The 13288-nt window shown below is 45.4% G+C and overlaps 1 annotated feature.

Moving 5' to 3' along the window:
• Nucleotides 3793-4992: an enhancer, noted in NCBI's record as "MED14-independent group 3 enhancer chr6:15066479-15067678 (GRCh37/hg19 assembly coordinates)". NCBI's record gives its function as "activates an origin of replication core promoter dependent on BRD2, BRD4, P300/CBP and CDK7 cofactors, and independent of MED14, by STARR-seq in HCT116 cells {active_cell/tissue: HCT116}" and the evidence as "EXISTENCE:reporter gene assay evidence [ECO:0000049][PMID:35650434]".

Raw genomic sequence — 13288 nt, forward strand, 5'->3', positions numbered from 1 at the left:
GAACTTGCTCATTTGCCACACTTCCCTAAGCTGAACATCTAAAGGTAATTCTTCAGGGTCAAAAACTGGGCCTTCCCATATTAAGAGGCATCCCAAGAATGATGACATCACATGTCCTTCTAAGGAATCGAACACTAGCGATTGTGAACTCCAGCAAGAAGATGTTTTGTCTTTGAGATGAGTAATGAGGAGAAAATGGCGTGACGATGGCATTACACGGATAAGGGTCTATTATTCCTTATCCACAATGCTGAAATTCAAGAAGCTCCCCAAACCACAACTTACTACATAACTCATTGCATGTCAAGGCCTGACCTGGCCTGAACTGACATGAGCCTATTTATAGACATTGTCTCATTCCATGTGCATATCTATCCTTTGGCTTCAGAAATAGTAAGATGCTTGATTGCACAATACTGCAGGAGAGTCCACCAGCAGTGGTAGGTAACACCCTGAGTCCTGAAAGCCATGTGGCTCCAAGGATTTCAGATATGGAACTATGGGCCTGTGGTGACTATGATCCTGGTTTTAATGCTCATGTTCATGTTCATGTTCCCCAGCGCTGCATTTATTCTTAGCTTGAGCTTATTTGTGGGATCAGCCTGATTATGGTCGCTGAAAAATCTTTGTCAGAGGCAGTTGGGATAACCAGCCGTGGGCAAATGAAACAAGAAAAGTCAACCAGAGACCAGAGGCTAGCATGTGGCCTAATTCCTCCCCTGGTCTCAATCTTATCACCATGGCCCATCAGAGGTGCTACCTCCTGGCCCTGCCTCACACACCTCCACCCCCAGACATCTTGGGTCTACAGATACTTTAAGAGCCCTGGAAGCACAATTGAAGCTTGCCGGGTGTGGTGGCTCATGCTTGTAATCCCAGCACTTTGGAAGGCAGAGGTGGGCCAATCATTTGAGCTTAGGAGTTTGAGACCAGCCTGGACAACATGGCGAAACTCCATCACCATGAAAAATACAAAAATTAGCTAGGTACAGTGGCATGAGCCTGTAGTCCCAGCTACTTGGAAGGCTGAGGTTGGAGGATCCATTGAGCCTCAGAGGCAGAGGTTGCAGTGAGTCGAGATGGTGCCATTGCACTCCAGCCTGGGTGGCATGAGTGAAACCCTGTCTCAACACACACACACACGCGCATGCACGCACTTCCCTTTTTTAGAGACAGGATCTCATTCACTCAGTCACCCAGACTGGAATGCAGTGCTGCAATAATAGCTCACTGCAGCCTTGAACTCCTGGGCTCAAGTGACCTCAGCTTCCCAAAGTGCTGGGATTACAGGCATAAGCCACCCCACCCAGCCTACATGTGGGGTTTTGGAAGGCAGATCTGGGCCTGTCCACCAACTCTTCTACCAATAAGATGCACGCCTGGGAACAATCTAACTCATTCTCACTTGCCTCATCATTTAAATGGTTATAATTATAATAATTGCTTCTGACATTACTTTTCAGGGTCAAATAATAGAATCAATATGGTAGTTCCATGTAAGTAGTAAGATGATATACAAATGTCATAGTATTTTTATTATTTTTTATGAGCCCATATAGAGAAGAGATATTATTTTTTAAGGTCAGAATATCACTTATACTGGAATACTTATTTGTTAGGATAATACTTCTCAAATATACTTTCTTTTTTTCTTTCTTTTTTTGGAGAAAGAGTCAGAGTCACCCACCCAGGCTGGAATGCAGTGGCGCAATCCAGGCTCACTGCAACCTTCAGCTCCTGGGTTCAAGTGATTCTCCTGCTTCAGCCTCCTGAGTAGCTGGGATTACAGGCAAGCGCTACCACACCAGGCTAATTATTTTGTATTTTTAGTGGAGACAGAGTCTCACCATGTTGCCCAGGCTGGTCTTGAACTCCTGCACTCAAGCAACCCACCCACCTCTGCCTCCCAAAGTCCTGGGATTACAGGCATGAGCCACTGAGTCCAGCCCTTACTTATTTTTTTTATATTTAAAATAAAAATTTTTTCAATATAGAGACAGGGTCTCCCTATGTTGCCCAGGCTGGTCTCAAACTCCTGGGCTCAAGCAATCCTCCCACCTCAGCCTCCCAAATTGCTTGGATTCCAGGCATGAGCCACCACACGCAGCTGCAAATTTATTATCACGTTATTGTTTCAAAAGATACTCCGCTATTAAAATTGAGCAGTCAGAGTCTTTTTTCACTTTTCAGGAAAAAATAAAATCAATGACAGAATTTTCTAAGATTTGGCTGGGCGCGGTGGCTCACGCCTGTAATCCCAGCACTTTGGGAGGCCGAGGCAGGCGGATCACGAGGTCAGGAGATCGAGACCATCCAGGCTAACACAGTGAAACCCCGTCTCTACTAAAAATACAAAAAATTAGCCGGGTGTGGTGGTGGGCGCCTGTTGTCCCAGCTACTTGGGAGGCTGAGGCAGGAGAATGGCGTGAACCCCGGAGGCGGAGCTTGCTTGCAGTGAGCCAAGATTGCGCCACTGCACTCCAGCCTGGGCAAAAGAGTGAGACTCCGCCTCAAAAAAAAAAAAAAAAGAATTTTCTAAGATTTACCAGCATTTACCAGATTTACCAGAATTTTCTAGATTTACCGTCAGTTAGGTTTTTCTATTGGGGTTGGATTCCACTTGTCTTTTAAGAAACATATAAGTCGGATGAGATTTGATAAAATTATTAAGTACTTGGCCAGGTGTGAGCCCATTCACTATCAACTGTCACGAGAACAGCATGAGGGTGACCTCCCCCATGATCCAATCACCTCCCACCAGGTCCCTTCCTCGACACGTGGGTTTTACAATTCAAGATGAGATTTGGGTGAGGACACAAAGCCAAACCATATCACAAGCATTTGCAATAAAATTCCAACTAAAACAGAGACACTGAAATCTACAGGTAAAGGTCTTTCTTCTGTGAGTGCCAAGAAAGTAGGGTTCTGCAATTCTTGGGTGGATTTAGGAAATGCTTCATGGAAAAAAAATGACACCAAGGCCAAGTCTTAGAAAATGTGAGCAAGACAATTCACCTATTTCCCCATTTCAGGAGTTCACTATGGCAGGGTGACGCTAGGGCTTGGATGGACCCAATGAGATGTTCTTGAACACCAGATTTAGCTTTAAAATTCAAGGTTTCCTGAGTAGAAATCCCATTAGGGTAGAGCCCAGCAGTCTGAGTTATAGCCGGACTGTAACAGAGAGTGGATGGAGAAAGATTAATTAAGGCAGTTGGGTTTGAAAGGACAAATGAATCTGACATAGCAACATGACAAATGTGTGTGAGCCCAACACTAATTAGCAATAAAAAAAAATACTTATCTTCTAAATACACAAAGCACATATTTTCAGTGACAACTCATTCTACTCCTAATCCCCACATAAACATGTAGGTCAAAGAATGCCTGGGTCAAATTGGTGCTTTCATCCCCTGCATCCACATGGGCGTCACCAACCAGCCCTCGAGTGAGGGGAAGATAGTCCATCTGGGCCCATTTGGAGAAAATGCTCATTTGCCAAAAGGCAGATTTACTCTAAGGACCACCCCTCCACTCATAAAGCTCTCTGCAAATGTGCAAAGAATTTAAAGGCAAGCTAGTATTTATATACTTACTCCTCTGCATTTTTGCCCTTTCAATTTTAAGGTAGAATGGCTTGTTTCATCCCTCTTTTGGAGACCAAAGAGTTTATACTTAATCTGGACTGAACTAAACAGGCCTTCTTCTGGGAAAAGGGCTGAGGGAGTCCCCAGCTCTGGGTCTATTCAATCAGTTAATGAATTAATTATTCAGGGATTCTTCTCTGTCACTGTGAGGTTGTGTGTGTTGGTTCTTCCTCAGGAAGGACCTCCCTTACCACCTTAACACAGTCAATAACCCCTCGCCCACATTCTCTGCTCCTAATCCTGTTTTATTTTTCTTCATAGCATTTATCATTTCCTAACTTTATAGTGTAAATATATTTTTTTGATTCCTATCTTCTCCTCTATTATGAAAGCTCCCGTTGATGGAGACTTTGAGAGTTTTATTTAATTCTGTCAACCCAGTGCATAGAATAATGCTTGGCACGTGATAGGCACTCAATAAATACTTGCAAAATGAGTGAGTGAATGAACGAACGAATGAATGAAGTCGAATAAATGAGGCTGAGACTGCTTAAAGATCATCCCAGGCCAATCCCCTCACTGTTGAGAACTAAGTGCAATGGTGGTCTCCTAAAGGAGGTTCTTCTGGGAGGATCCACCCCTCATTGTGTGGGGAGGTACTAGCCCACGGCTAGAGTGTCAGATAAACATAAGAAAAATTAAATAGAGGGTGAAGCTCTCAGCGGCTTGGAAGAGTGTCCTATAAATAGGGAGGAGGAAGAAGGCCTTGGAGGGTAGGGATGACTCAGCCAGCTTTGTCAGGACATGATTTTCAACTTTCCACCCACGGACACTTTGGGTTGGTTAGAGAATTATTGCTAAATCCTGACAACGTGTGCCTACAGTGTGATTTCTGTTCTCTTTCTCTCCGTTCCCCTCTCACTGACCCTTTTCTCTCAACCGCCATGCGCAATGTTTCTGGGAAGTCTGTGAGGAATCCGCCATCAAGAACCTGTAAGCTGCTGCAGTTAAACTTTGAATGCGGTCCGTTCCCAGCGTCATTTCCCCTTCCCTTTCCTGCAGGCCCTGGTCTCTGTTGGTCATTGAGGGTCAACGCCAGGACTGAGGTATATGATACAGAGGAAGCCGATCAGCCTATTCCTTTCCCCTAGCCAGAGACTGGATTAGGTCAACAAGCAGACATTGCTGGGGACTTCAGGAAGGAAGTTTCCTAGTCTTTGAGTGACTCCTTTGTCAACACATATCAACAGGGAGCATGTAGTCCAGGAGTTACCGGCAGCCATCTTGTGACCCTGAGATGAGCGGGGATGGAGCAGAGCCACCAAAGGCAGAGAGGAGAGAATGAGAGAAACAGGATCTTCGGAGACATCCCTGAGCTACAAGAAGCCTGCCCTAGCTCTGGGTTTTCCAGTAGATGCAAGCCAATATATTCCACCCATCCATTCATTCATTCATTCATTCATTTCTTTCTTTAGAGAGGGAGTCTCACTCTCCTGCCCAGGCTGGAGTGCAGTGGCGCGATCTCGGCTCACTGCAAGTTCTTCTCCTCGGTTCAAGCGATTCTCCTGCCTCAGCCTCCTGAGTAGCTGGGATTACAGGCTCCCGCCACCATGCCCAGCTAATTTTTTTGTATTTTTTTGTATTTTTTTTTTTTTTGAGACAGAGTCTCGCTCTGTCGCCCAGGCTGGAGTGCAGTGGAGCGATCTCGGCTCACTGCAAGCTCCACCTCCCGGGTTCACACCATTCTCCTGCCTCAGCCTCCCGAGTAGCTGGGACTATAGGTGCCCGACACCGTGCCCAGATAATTTTTTTGTATTTTTAGTAGAGACGGGGTTTCACCGTGTTAGCCAGGATGGTCTTGATCTCCTGACCTCGTGATCCGCCCGTCTCGGCCCCCCAAAGTGCTGGGATTACAGGCATGAGCCACCGTGCCCGGCCCCATTTTTCTGTATTTTTAATAGAGATGGGGATTCACTGTGTTAGCCAGGATGGTCTCGATCTCCTGACCTCATGATCCACCAGCCTTGGCCTCCCAAAGTGCTGGGATTATAGGCATGAGCCACTGCGCCCAGCTCATTCATTTCTTTATTTAGCAACAGATTCTTGCTCAGTCGCCCAGGCTGGAATGCAGCGATGTCGGCTCACTGCAGCCTCCACCTCCTGGGTTCAAGCAGTTCTCCCACCTCAGCTGCCCCAGTAGCTGGGACTACAGGCATACACCACCACGCCTGGCTAATTTTTGTATTTTTAGTAGAGATGGGGTTTCACCATGTTGGCCAGGTTGGTCTTGAACTCCTGGCCTCAGGTGATGCGCCTGCTTTGGCCTCCCAAAGTGTTGGAATTACAGGCTTGAGCCACCGTGCCTGTTTATGTTCCATTTATTGTGTAAATCAATTTGAGCTGTTGTTAAAACTGAAAGCTGCCTAACTGATACACTGGTTCTGATTCTTTTTCCCAACTTAAGGTGAATTAAAGGAGTTTGTCTCTTTTTTGTTAAGTTTAATATATTTCATTTCAAATGTCACTATATATATTTGAGGCCACATTGGAAATATGGACTCTAATAGTACAATACCCCCTTGTTGAGCCAACTTTAAATTACATTAACTTTTGCAATTCACCAATAAATCATAGCAGAGGATCATGAGACTACAGATCTGCCACTTTCACTTTTAACCATGTAAAATTAGGAAATTTTATTAATAAAAGGTATTTGTGAAAAATCATACATGCATAAAGAGTCTTATTATGATATAACAGTGAATACATAATTCTAGCAATCACCAGAATATAACAAAAATTGCATAGTGAAAATAAAATTCACCGTAACACTACCAAAAAAAGGTTATGGGCTCAGTTAGATTCCTGGAGCATTGGAGACAGTCAGAATTTACTTAGGGTTGGTCTCACTCCTGAAAACCTCAGGAAATGCTGGAGACGGTGCCTGGGGTTCATTTTTACTGTGCCGAGTTGTGTCCCTACCCTGATGAGCTGTAAGTTCCATTATTGAGATCTGTCTCATAAAATGACACTTGGTTTTTTTTTTTTGGTTTTGTTTGTTTGTTTGTTTGTTTGTTTTTTCTTTTTTCTTTTTTCTTTTTTTTTTTTTTTGAGATAGTCTCACTCTGTCGCCCAGGCTGGAGTGCAGTAGCACGATCTCAGCTCACTGCAACCTGCAACTTCTGCCTCCTGGGTTCAAGCGATTCTCCTGCTTTGGCTTCCCAAGTAGCTGGGATTGCAGGCGTGCACCATCATGCCCAACTAATTTTTGTAGTTTTAGAAGAGATGAGGTTTTACCATGTTGGCCAGGCTGGTCTTGAACTCTTGGCCTCAAGCAATCTGCCCACCTTGGTCTCTCAAAGAGTGCTGGGATTACAGGTGTGGCCCACCACACCCGGCCTTGGCTTTGGTTTTGGTTTTGACCATGCCACAGCGGTAGTGGCTGTGGGGTGGAGAGGATGCCTGATTTTTAATTCTTATGAAGGTGCTTTCTTGTGTGGATAGTTCTGCAATCTGGTATTCCTGCAAGGGCAGTGGGGGTGATTGCTGGAGGGATCTATTTGGCTATCTTGCTCCACCTCCCTTAGAGGAGTTTGTCTTAATAAATAAACCCAGGAGAAGATAAACATTGTTTGATTTTCCCAGATTTTATTGTGGATAAACTATTTTAATTTAATTATGGAATGAAATCTTGTATACTTGCATATTAGGGAATCAGAAAGAGATCTGGAGCTTTGAAACTAAAACGCTTCACTCGTAAACTGACAATCAGATATCTTAGACCAAAATCTTCTTCAATATTAATTGGTACTTACAAAATATCCTTTGAAAAAGGCTATATAGAGAAGCTGAATGTGTCTAGCGATTAAGACAGCATTTATTTATACTCTTATACTAGTTTACATATACTCTTATACTGGTTGAAATGTTTCTAATTGATTAGACACGTGGAATATTTGAGAGAGAACAGACATCAGGCAATGAGGTACAGCAGTTAAGAACAAGGTTAACTTGCCCAAGTTCTATCTTAACTTCATTTTCGTAGGTCTTGTTGGTGCTGATATGATTTGGGTCTGTGTCGCCACTCAAATCTTTTGTCAAATTGTAATCCTCGATGTTGGAGGAGAGGCCTGGTGGGAGGTGACTGGATCATGGGGGCATGGATTTCCCCCTTGCTGCTCTCGCCATAGTGAGTGAGTTCTCATGAGATCTGGTTGTTTAAAAGTGTGTAGCACCTCCCGCCTCTCTCTTCCTCCTGTTCTGGCCAGTGAAGATGTGCCTGCTTCCCTTTCCCTTTCTGCCATGATTGTGAATGTAAATTTCCTTGAAGCCTCCCCAGCCATGCTTTCTGTACAGCCTGTGGCACCATGAGCCAATTAAACCTCTTTTCTTTATACATTACCCAGTCTCAGGTATTTCTTTATAGCAGTGTGAGAAAGGACTAATACAGTGGCCTACCCAACATTCATCTCCCTCCTTCCTCTCTCCTAGTGAAGCCCTGATTTCGTTCTCCTCCATGCCACTAGAGAAAGCTATTTCTCTAGTGCCAGGAATGAGTCTTGATTTATCTAAACCAATCAAAGCAGGCTTATCCTCCTCTTCAGCTATTGAAATGTGAGACATATCAGTCCAGGAAGACACATACAGGGGGATTTTCCCAAGAGTTTCTAGGACAGTTCCTCTAAGAGAATTTCCAGAAGTAATTCCCTCTCTTAGGCTTACCATGGAAAAGAAAGCAAAGAACTTTGACTACTGTTGACAGCCACTCCTCAACCATGAGGAGAGCTAGGCTTAGGATGCAGTCCACACTGCCTATGGCAGAGCAGAAAGATGGAAAGAGCCTGAAGTCCTTCTTATAGACCAACTATCCACCAACTTTAAAGCCTATTCTGCCTTTGGATTTCCTGTGAGCTATGTGAGCCAATAAACGTCCTTCTCATTTAAGCCAGTTTGAGTTGGGTTTTCCATTACTTGCAGCCAAAAACAACCTCACTGTTAGGCTCTTTAAATCCTATCTCTTAGGTATGTTGGGAGGAATAAATTTGATATGAAGTGCTTAGCATAATGCCTGCATCATATAAGTGCTTAATCAATGCTTAATCAATGGGCACTATGATTATCTAACCACTCATGTTATAGATTATTTGCCCAAGTTAACATAGACTTCCTCTGAATGGTCTGTGGATTAGTCTAAATGCATCAAACCAGAGAGAAGGCCAGGGCAAAAGTCAGGTCATTGAGTCAGGAAGGCTGATGACACAAGGACCAAGATCCGAGAGGCAGAAAAATGTCAAAGCCGGAACAAAAGGCTAGTTAGACAGGGCTGGAAGCAGACACCTTGAAGGTGGAGCAGGGATGGGCCAGGGTGGATCTCCCAGTCACCGGGCTCCCACATGGCAATTTCACCCCATCCTGATAGGCCCAGGCTGGAGTCCTAAATGAAAGACCGTGTGACACAGCATGTTAGTAGCAGAATCTAGTTAAGCACTGAGATCTTACTCAGTCCAGCACCCTTTCCACTACACCAAATTTAATTCCATTGCATGGGCGTTTGTTTTTATTACATTCAGAGGACTCCTAAGTTACCTGAAATCACAGAATGTAAGAGGCAAAGTACTCACTCCCCACTTCAAAGTAAGTTTAGTGGCTATCCTTGGGTAGAGGGAGACGAGCTGTGACTTTACTATCTACTTTGTGTGTATTAGGGTTGAAGTCTTTACAAAGCATGATGTTTCTTTTTATATATGAAGGAAACTGGACCTTTTATTTAATAAGCCTTCAGTTGTCCCTGCTCCTGCCCCTTCTAATCAGGACAAGTGGTTGATTGATGAAGAGCTACTCCTTTTTTCATACACACACACACACACTCATACACACACACATGCACACACGCAAATACAGATTTTCTGTCCAAAGCCCAGGCAGCATTTCTAGATGTGGCCCTTTGGGAGTAACATGCTTTCCCAGTCCTTCCACCTCCATATACTTTTCCTCACCCTCCTGGACAGCCAGAGCACTCTAGAGCAGATATGCAAAAAGTCAGCTCAAATAGACCAAGTAGTGCCGAACTGTCCCAAAGCACACGCACCACGGGAGGGTGACCCTGCTGCTCCAGAAGAAACATGCTCATCTCTCTCTGCGCTCCTTCTTCTGTTGAACAGGGCCCTGGGTGCACTCCACTCACTGACATTATGGCCACAGGGCCAGCCCTGTTCACTATGGGGATGTTGGAGGGCAGGTGGTCTTGTATCCCTATCCTGGGCCCTTTTCCTCGACTGATGGGACATTTTCCCACCTGTCTGCTCCCATCAACACACCGTCCTACTTGGTATTTCCTGGCCTCCCCCATTTTCCTCTCAGCTTTTCATGCCCTGCTTTCTGGAAAGAACCTAATGTGTTCAATCCCACAGAGCTGCAAATGGTAAATCAGAAGGAAAGTAGCGAGAACAAATTGTATACCTTGGCACTGAGTGTCTCTGGGGGAAAAATACAAGCAGACCCAGTCACCAACCACAGTACGAGATTGTGATGGGAATCACGCAAGTTTCCTGACACACACAGTGTCTTAATATCTACCAGTAAGACTCATTCCCAGATCTTGGTGGCACGCTGGTGACAGAAAGTCTCCCTAGAAAGGTCACATATAAGCTGTCTCATACGAACCCTAAGAAATAATCCTGGAGTCTAGGATTTTTGTGAGGGTTAACTGAGATAATGCATGGAAAAAAAAAAAAAAAAAAAAACAAAACAGAATGAAACCAGAATGTCCCAAAGCAAGCTACCCAAAGTCAAGTTCATATTTTCATCCCCCAGCCAACTGGGTAATTCTCCTGGTTTGGTTTGGCCTCCCAAAGTGCTAAGAGGATTATAGGCATGAGCCACCGTGCCCAGCCCCTGAGAACATTTTTAATAGCCAGAAGCCATATCTTTAGCACCATTTTGCTTTCAGAAGTAACCCAAATTGAAACATTAGTTACTTACACACAAGTTTCTATCTCTTTTCTTTTTTTTGAGATGGAGTCTCACTCTGTTGCCTAGGCTAGAGTGCAGTGGCATGATCTCAGCTCACTGCAGCCTCTGCCTCCTGGGTTCCAGCAATTCTCCTGCCTCAGCCTCCAGAGTAGCTGTGATAACAGGCACGCACCACCATGCCTGGCTAATTTCTATGTTTTTAGTGGAGGCGGGGTTTCACCATGTTGGCCCCGCTGGTCTCGAACTCTTGACCTCAGGTGATTTGCCCACCTCGGCCTCCCAAAGTGCTAGGATTACAGGCATGAGCCACCACACCCAGCCTCTGTATCTTTTTTCAATGTAAATACACGGGGAAGCAGAAACCCTTGGTTGGTCTGAGTCAACTGGGCAGCTCGCTGACAAAGAAAGCTTTATTTCCTGGGTTAATGGTACCAACCCCTCCCAGCAATGGGAAGATGCCAGTTGGGGAGGGCATTCCCCACAGGCAAAGCCTCAGGCGCTATTTTGAGCAGGCCTTCTAGAGGCTGAGTCTAGACTTGAGGTTGCTGAAGGTTTCTGCTTATTCTGAAAGATGATCTAACCTAAGATAAATGCCAGGTATCTGTGGTCCAAATTTCCCCACTGTGCTTTCTCTGCCTAGAACCAGCCAGGGGATGCTGATGGTTCAGTGACTGTAGAAAAGCCAGCTTTAAGACTCTTAATTACTAGTTTAAATAACATGGTACAACTGGCTTTGGTAACATGATATATTTTATTGGGTTTGTTCATACACATGACAAACAGAAGCTGAGGTTTATGTGCCTAAAAGATACCTATTTTAGGCCCTGTGATTTGGAATTATTGGGGGACGGGGGCAGGGGGACAGTAGTGGCTTTCTAATGTCCACCCTTCAAGGCCTGAGGGTGGCTGACAGGCACAGCAAAGATGTTTCCATGCCGGAGCCTGCCAGGTCATCCAGTGTGTTGGGATTTTCACTAATTCGTACCAAACCTGCCCGTGTCCCCATGCTAATTTATGGGACTAACCTGTGATGAGTTTGGGTGTCCCATAATAAAATGTCACGTGATGATATACGAGGGAAAATAACGACTTGTGATTTTTGATATTCAGAAACACTTATCCTTTCCCGAAACAGGAAGACGGCTGTGCTTTCCTACAGCTCTGGAGCCGCCGGGTTTCTAAGCTCTTTTGTGCCTTTGAACATTTTTGTCTGAGAACTTGGCAGCAGAAGGCCTGGCTTCAATGGGAGAACCTGGGAGCCCAAGTGCACAGACTTCCCGAAACAGGGAAACAAAGAGAGCTGAGGCCTACACGGCTTGGCTGGCTTTCTACATCAATGGAGGTGTTTGCGGGCTGATCGAAAGGGCAATGGAAAAACCTCAGACCCTGGAGTGCCAGCTTCCTAGGGCTGCTGTAACAAAGTACCAAAACTGGGTGCTTTAAAGCTATAGGAAATCATTCTATCACAGTTCTGAAAATAAGAAGTCGGAAATCAAGGTGTCGGCAGGGCTCCTCGCGTTCTGAAGGCTCTAAGCCGGCGGTCCCCAACCTTTTTGGCACCAGCGACCAGTTTTGTGGGAGATAATTTTTCCACAGATGGAGGGTGGGGGTCGTTTCAGGAGGATTGAAGCACATTACATTTATTGTGCACGTTATTTCTATTATTATTACGTTGTAATATAATATATAATGAAATAATTATATGACTCATCATAATGTAGAATCAGTGGGAGCCCTGAGCTTGTTTTCCTGCAACTAGATGGTCCCATCTGGTGGGGGTGAGAGACAGTGACAGGTCATCAGGCATTAGATTCTCATAAGGAACACGCAACCTAGATCCCTCACATGCACCGTTCACAATAGGGTTCACACTCATAGAGTACCCAGTGCTGCCACTGATCTGACAGGAGGTAGAGCTCAGGCGGTAACATGGGCCATGGGGAGCAGCTGTAAATACAGATGAAGCTTCGCTCCACCGCCCGCCGCTCACCTCCTGCTGTGTGGCCCAGTTCCTAATAGGCCATGGACCAGGGCTTGGGGACCCCTGCTCCATGCCTTTCCCTTGCCCCCTGGTGTTGCTGGCCATCCTTCACCGTGCCTGGCTTGTGACACGTGGCTCCCAGCTCTGTCTCTGTTGTCACACGGCCTTCTCCTTGTGTGTTTTCACATTGTCTTCCCTCTGTGCCCATCCCTTCCCATGTCTCTTCTTATAAGGACACCAGATGCTTTGGACTAGGGGACCCATCCACATTAGTATGACTTCATCTTACCTGATTACTACTGCAACAACCCTATTTCCAAATAAGGTCACATTCTGAGTTACTGGGGGTCAAGACTATGTCTTAGTCTGCTCAGGCTGCCATAACAAAATACCATAGGCCAGGTGGTTTAAACAACAGAAGTTTGTTTTCTCACAGTTCTGGAGGCTGGGAAGCCTAAGATCAAGGTGTCAGCAGGGTCAATTTCAGAGAGAGCAAGAGAGCATGAGAAAGAATGCTCAGACGTCTCTTCTTACAAGAGCACTGCTCTGGCCAGGCTCAGTGGCTCACGCCTGTAATCCCAGCACTTTGGGAGGCTGAGGTGGAAGGATTACTCGAGGTCAGGAGTTCAAGACCAGCCTGGCCAACATGGGGAAATCCCATCTCTACTAAAAGTGCAAAAATTAGCTGGGTGTGGTGGCGGGCGCCTGTAATCCCAGCTACTCGGGAGGCTGAGGCAGGAGAATCGCT

The sequence above is a fragment of the Homo sapiens genome, chromosome 6 (assembly GCF_000001405.40).
Source record: "Homo sapiens chromosome 6, GRCh38.p14 Primary Assembly".
NCBI classification, from domain to species: Eukaryota; Metazoa; Chordata; class Mammalia; order Primates; family Hominidae; genus Homo; species Homo sapiens.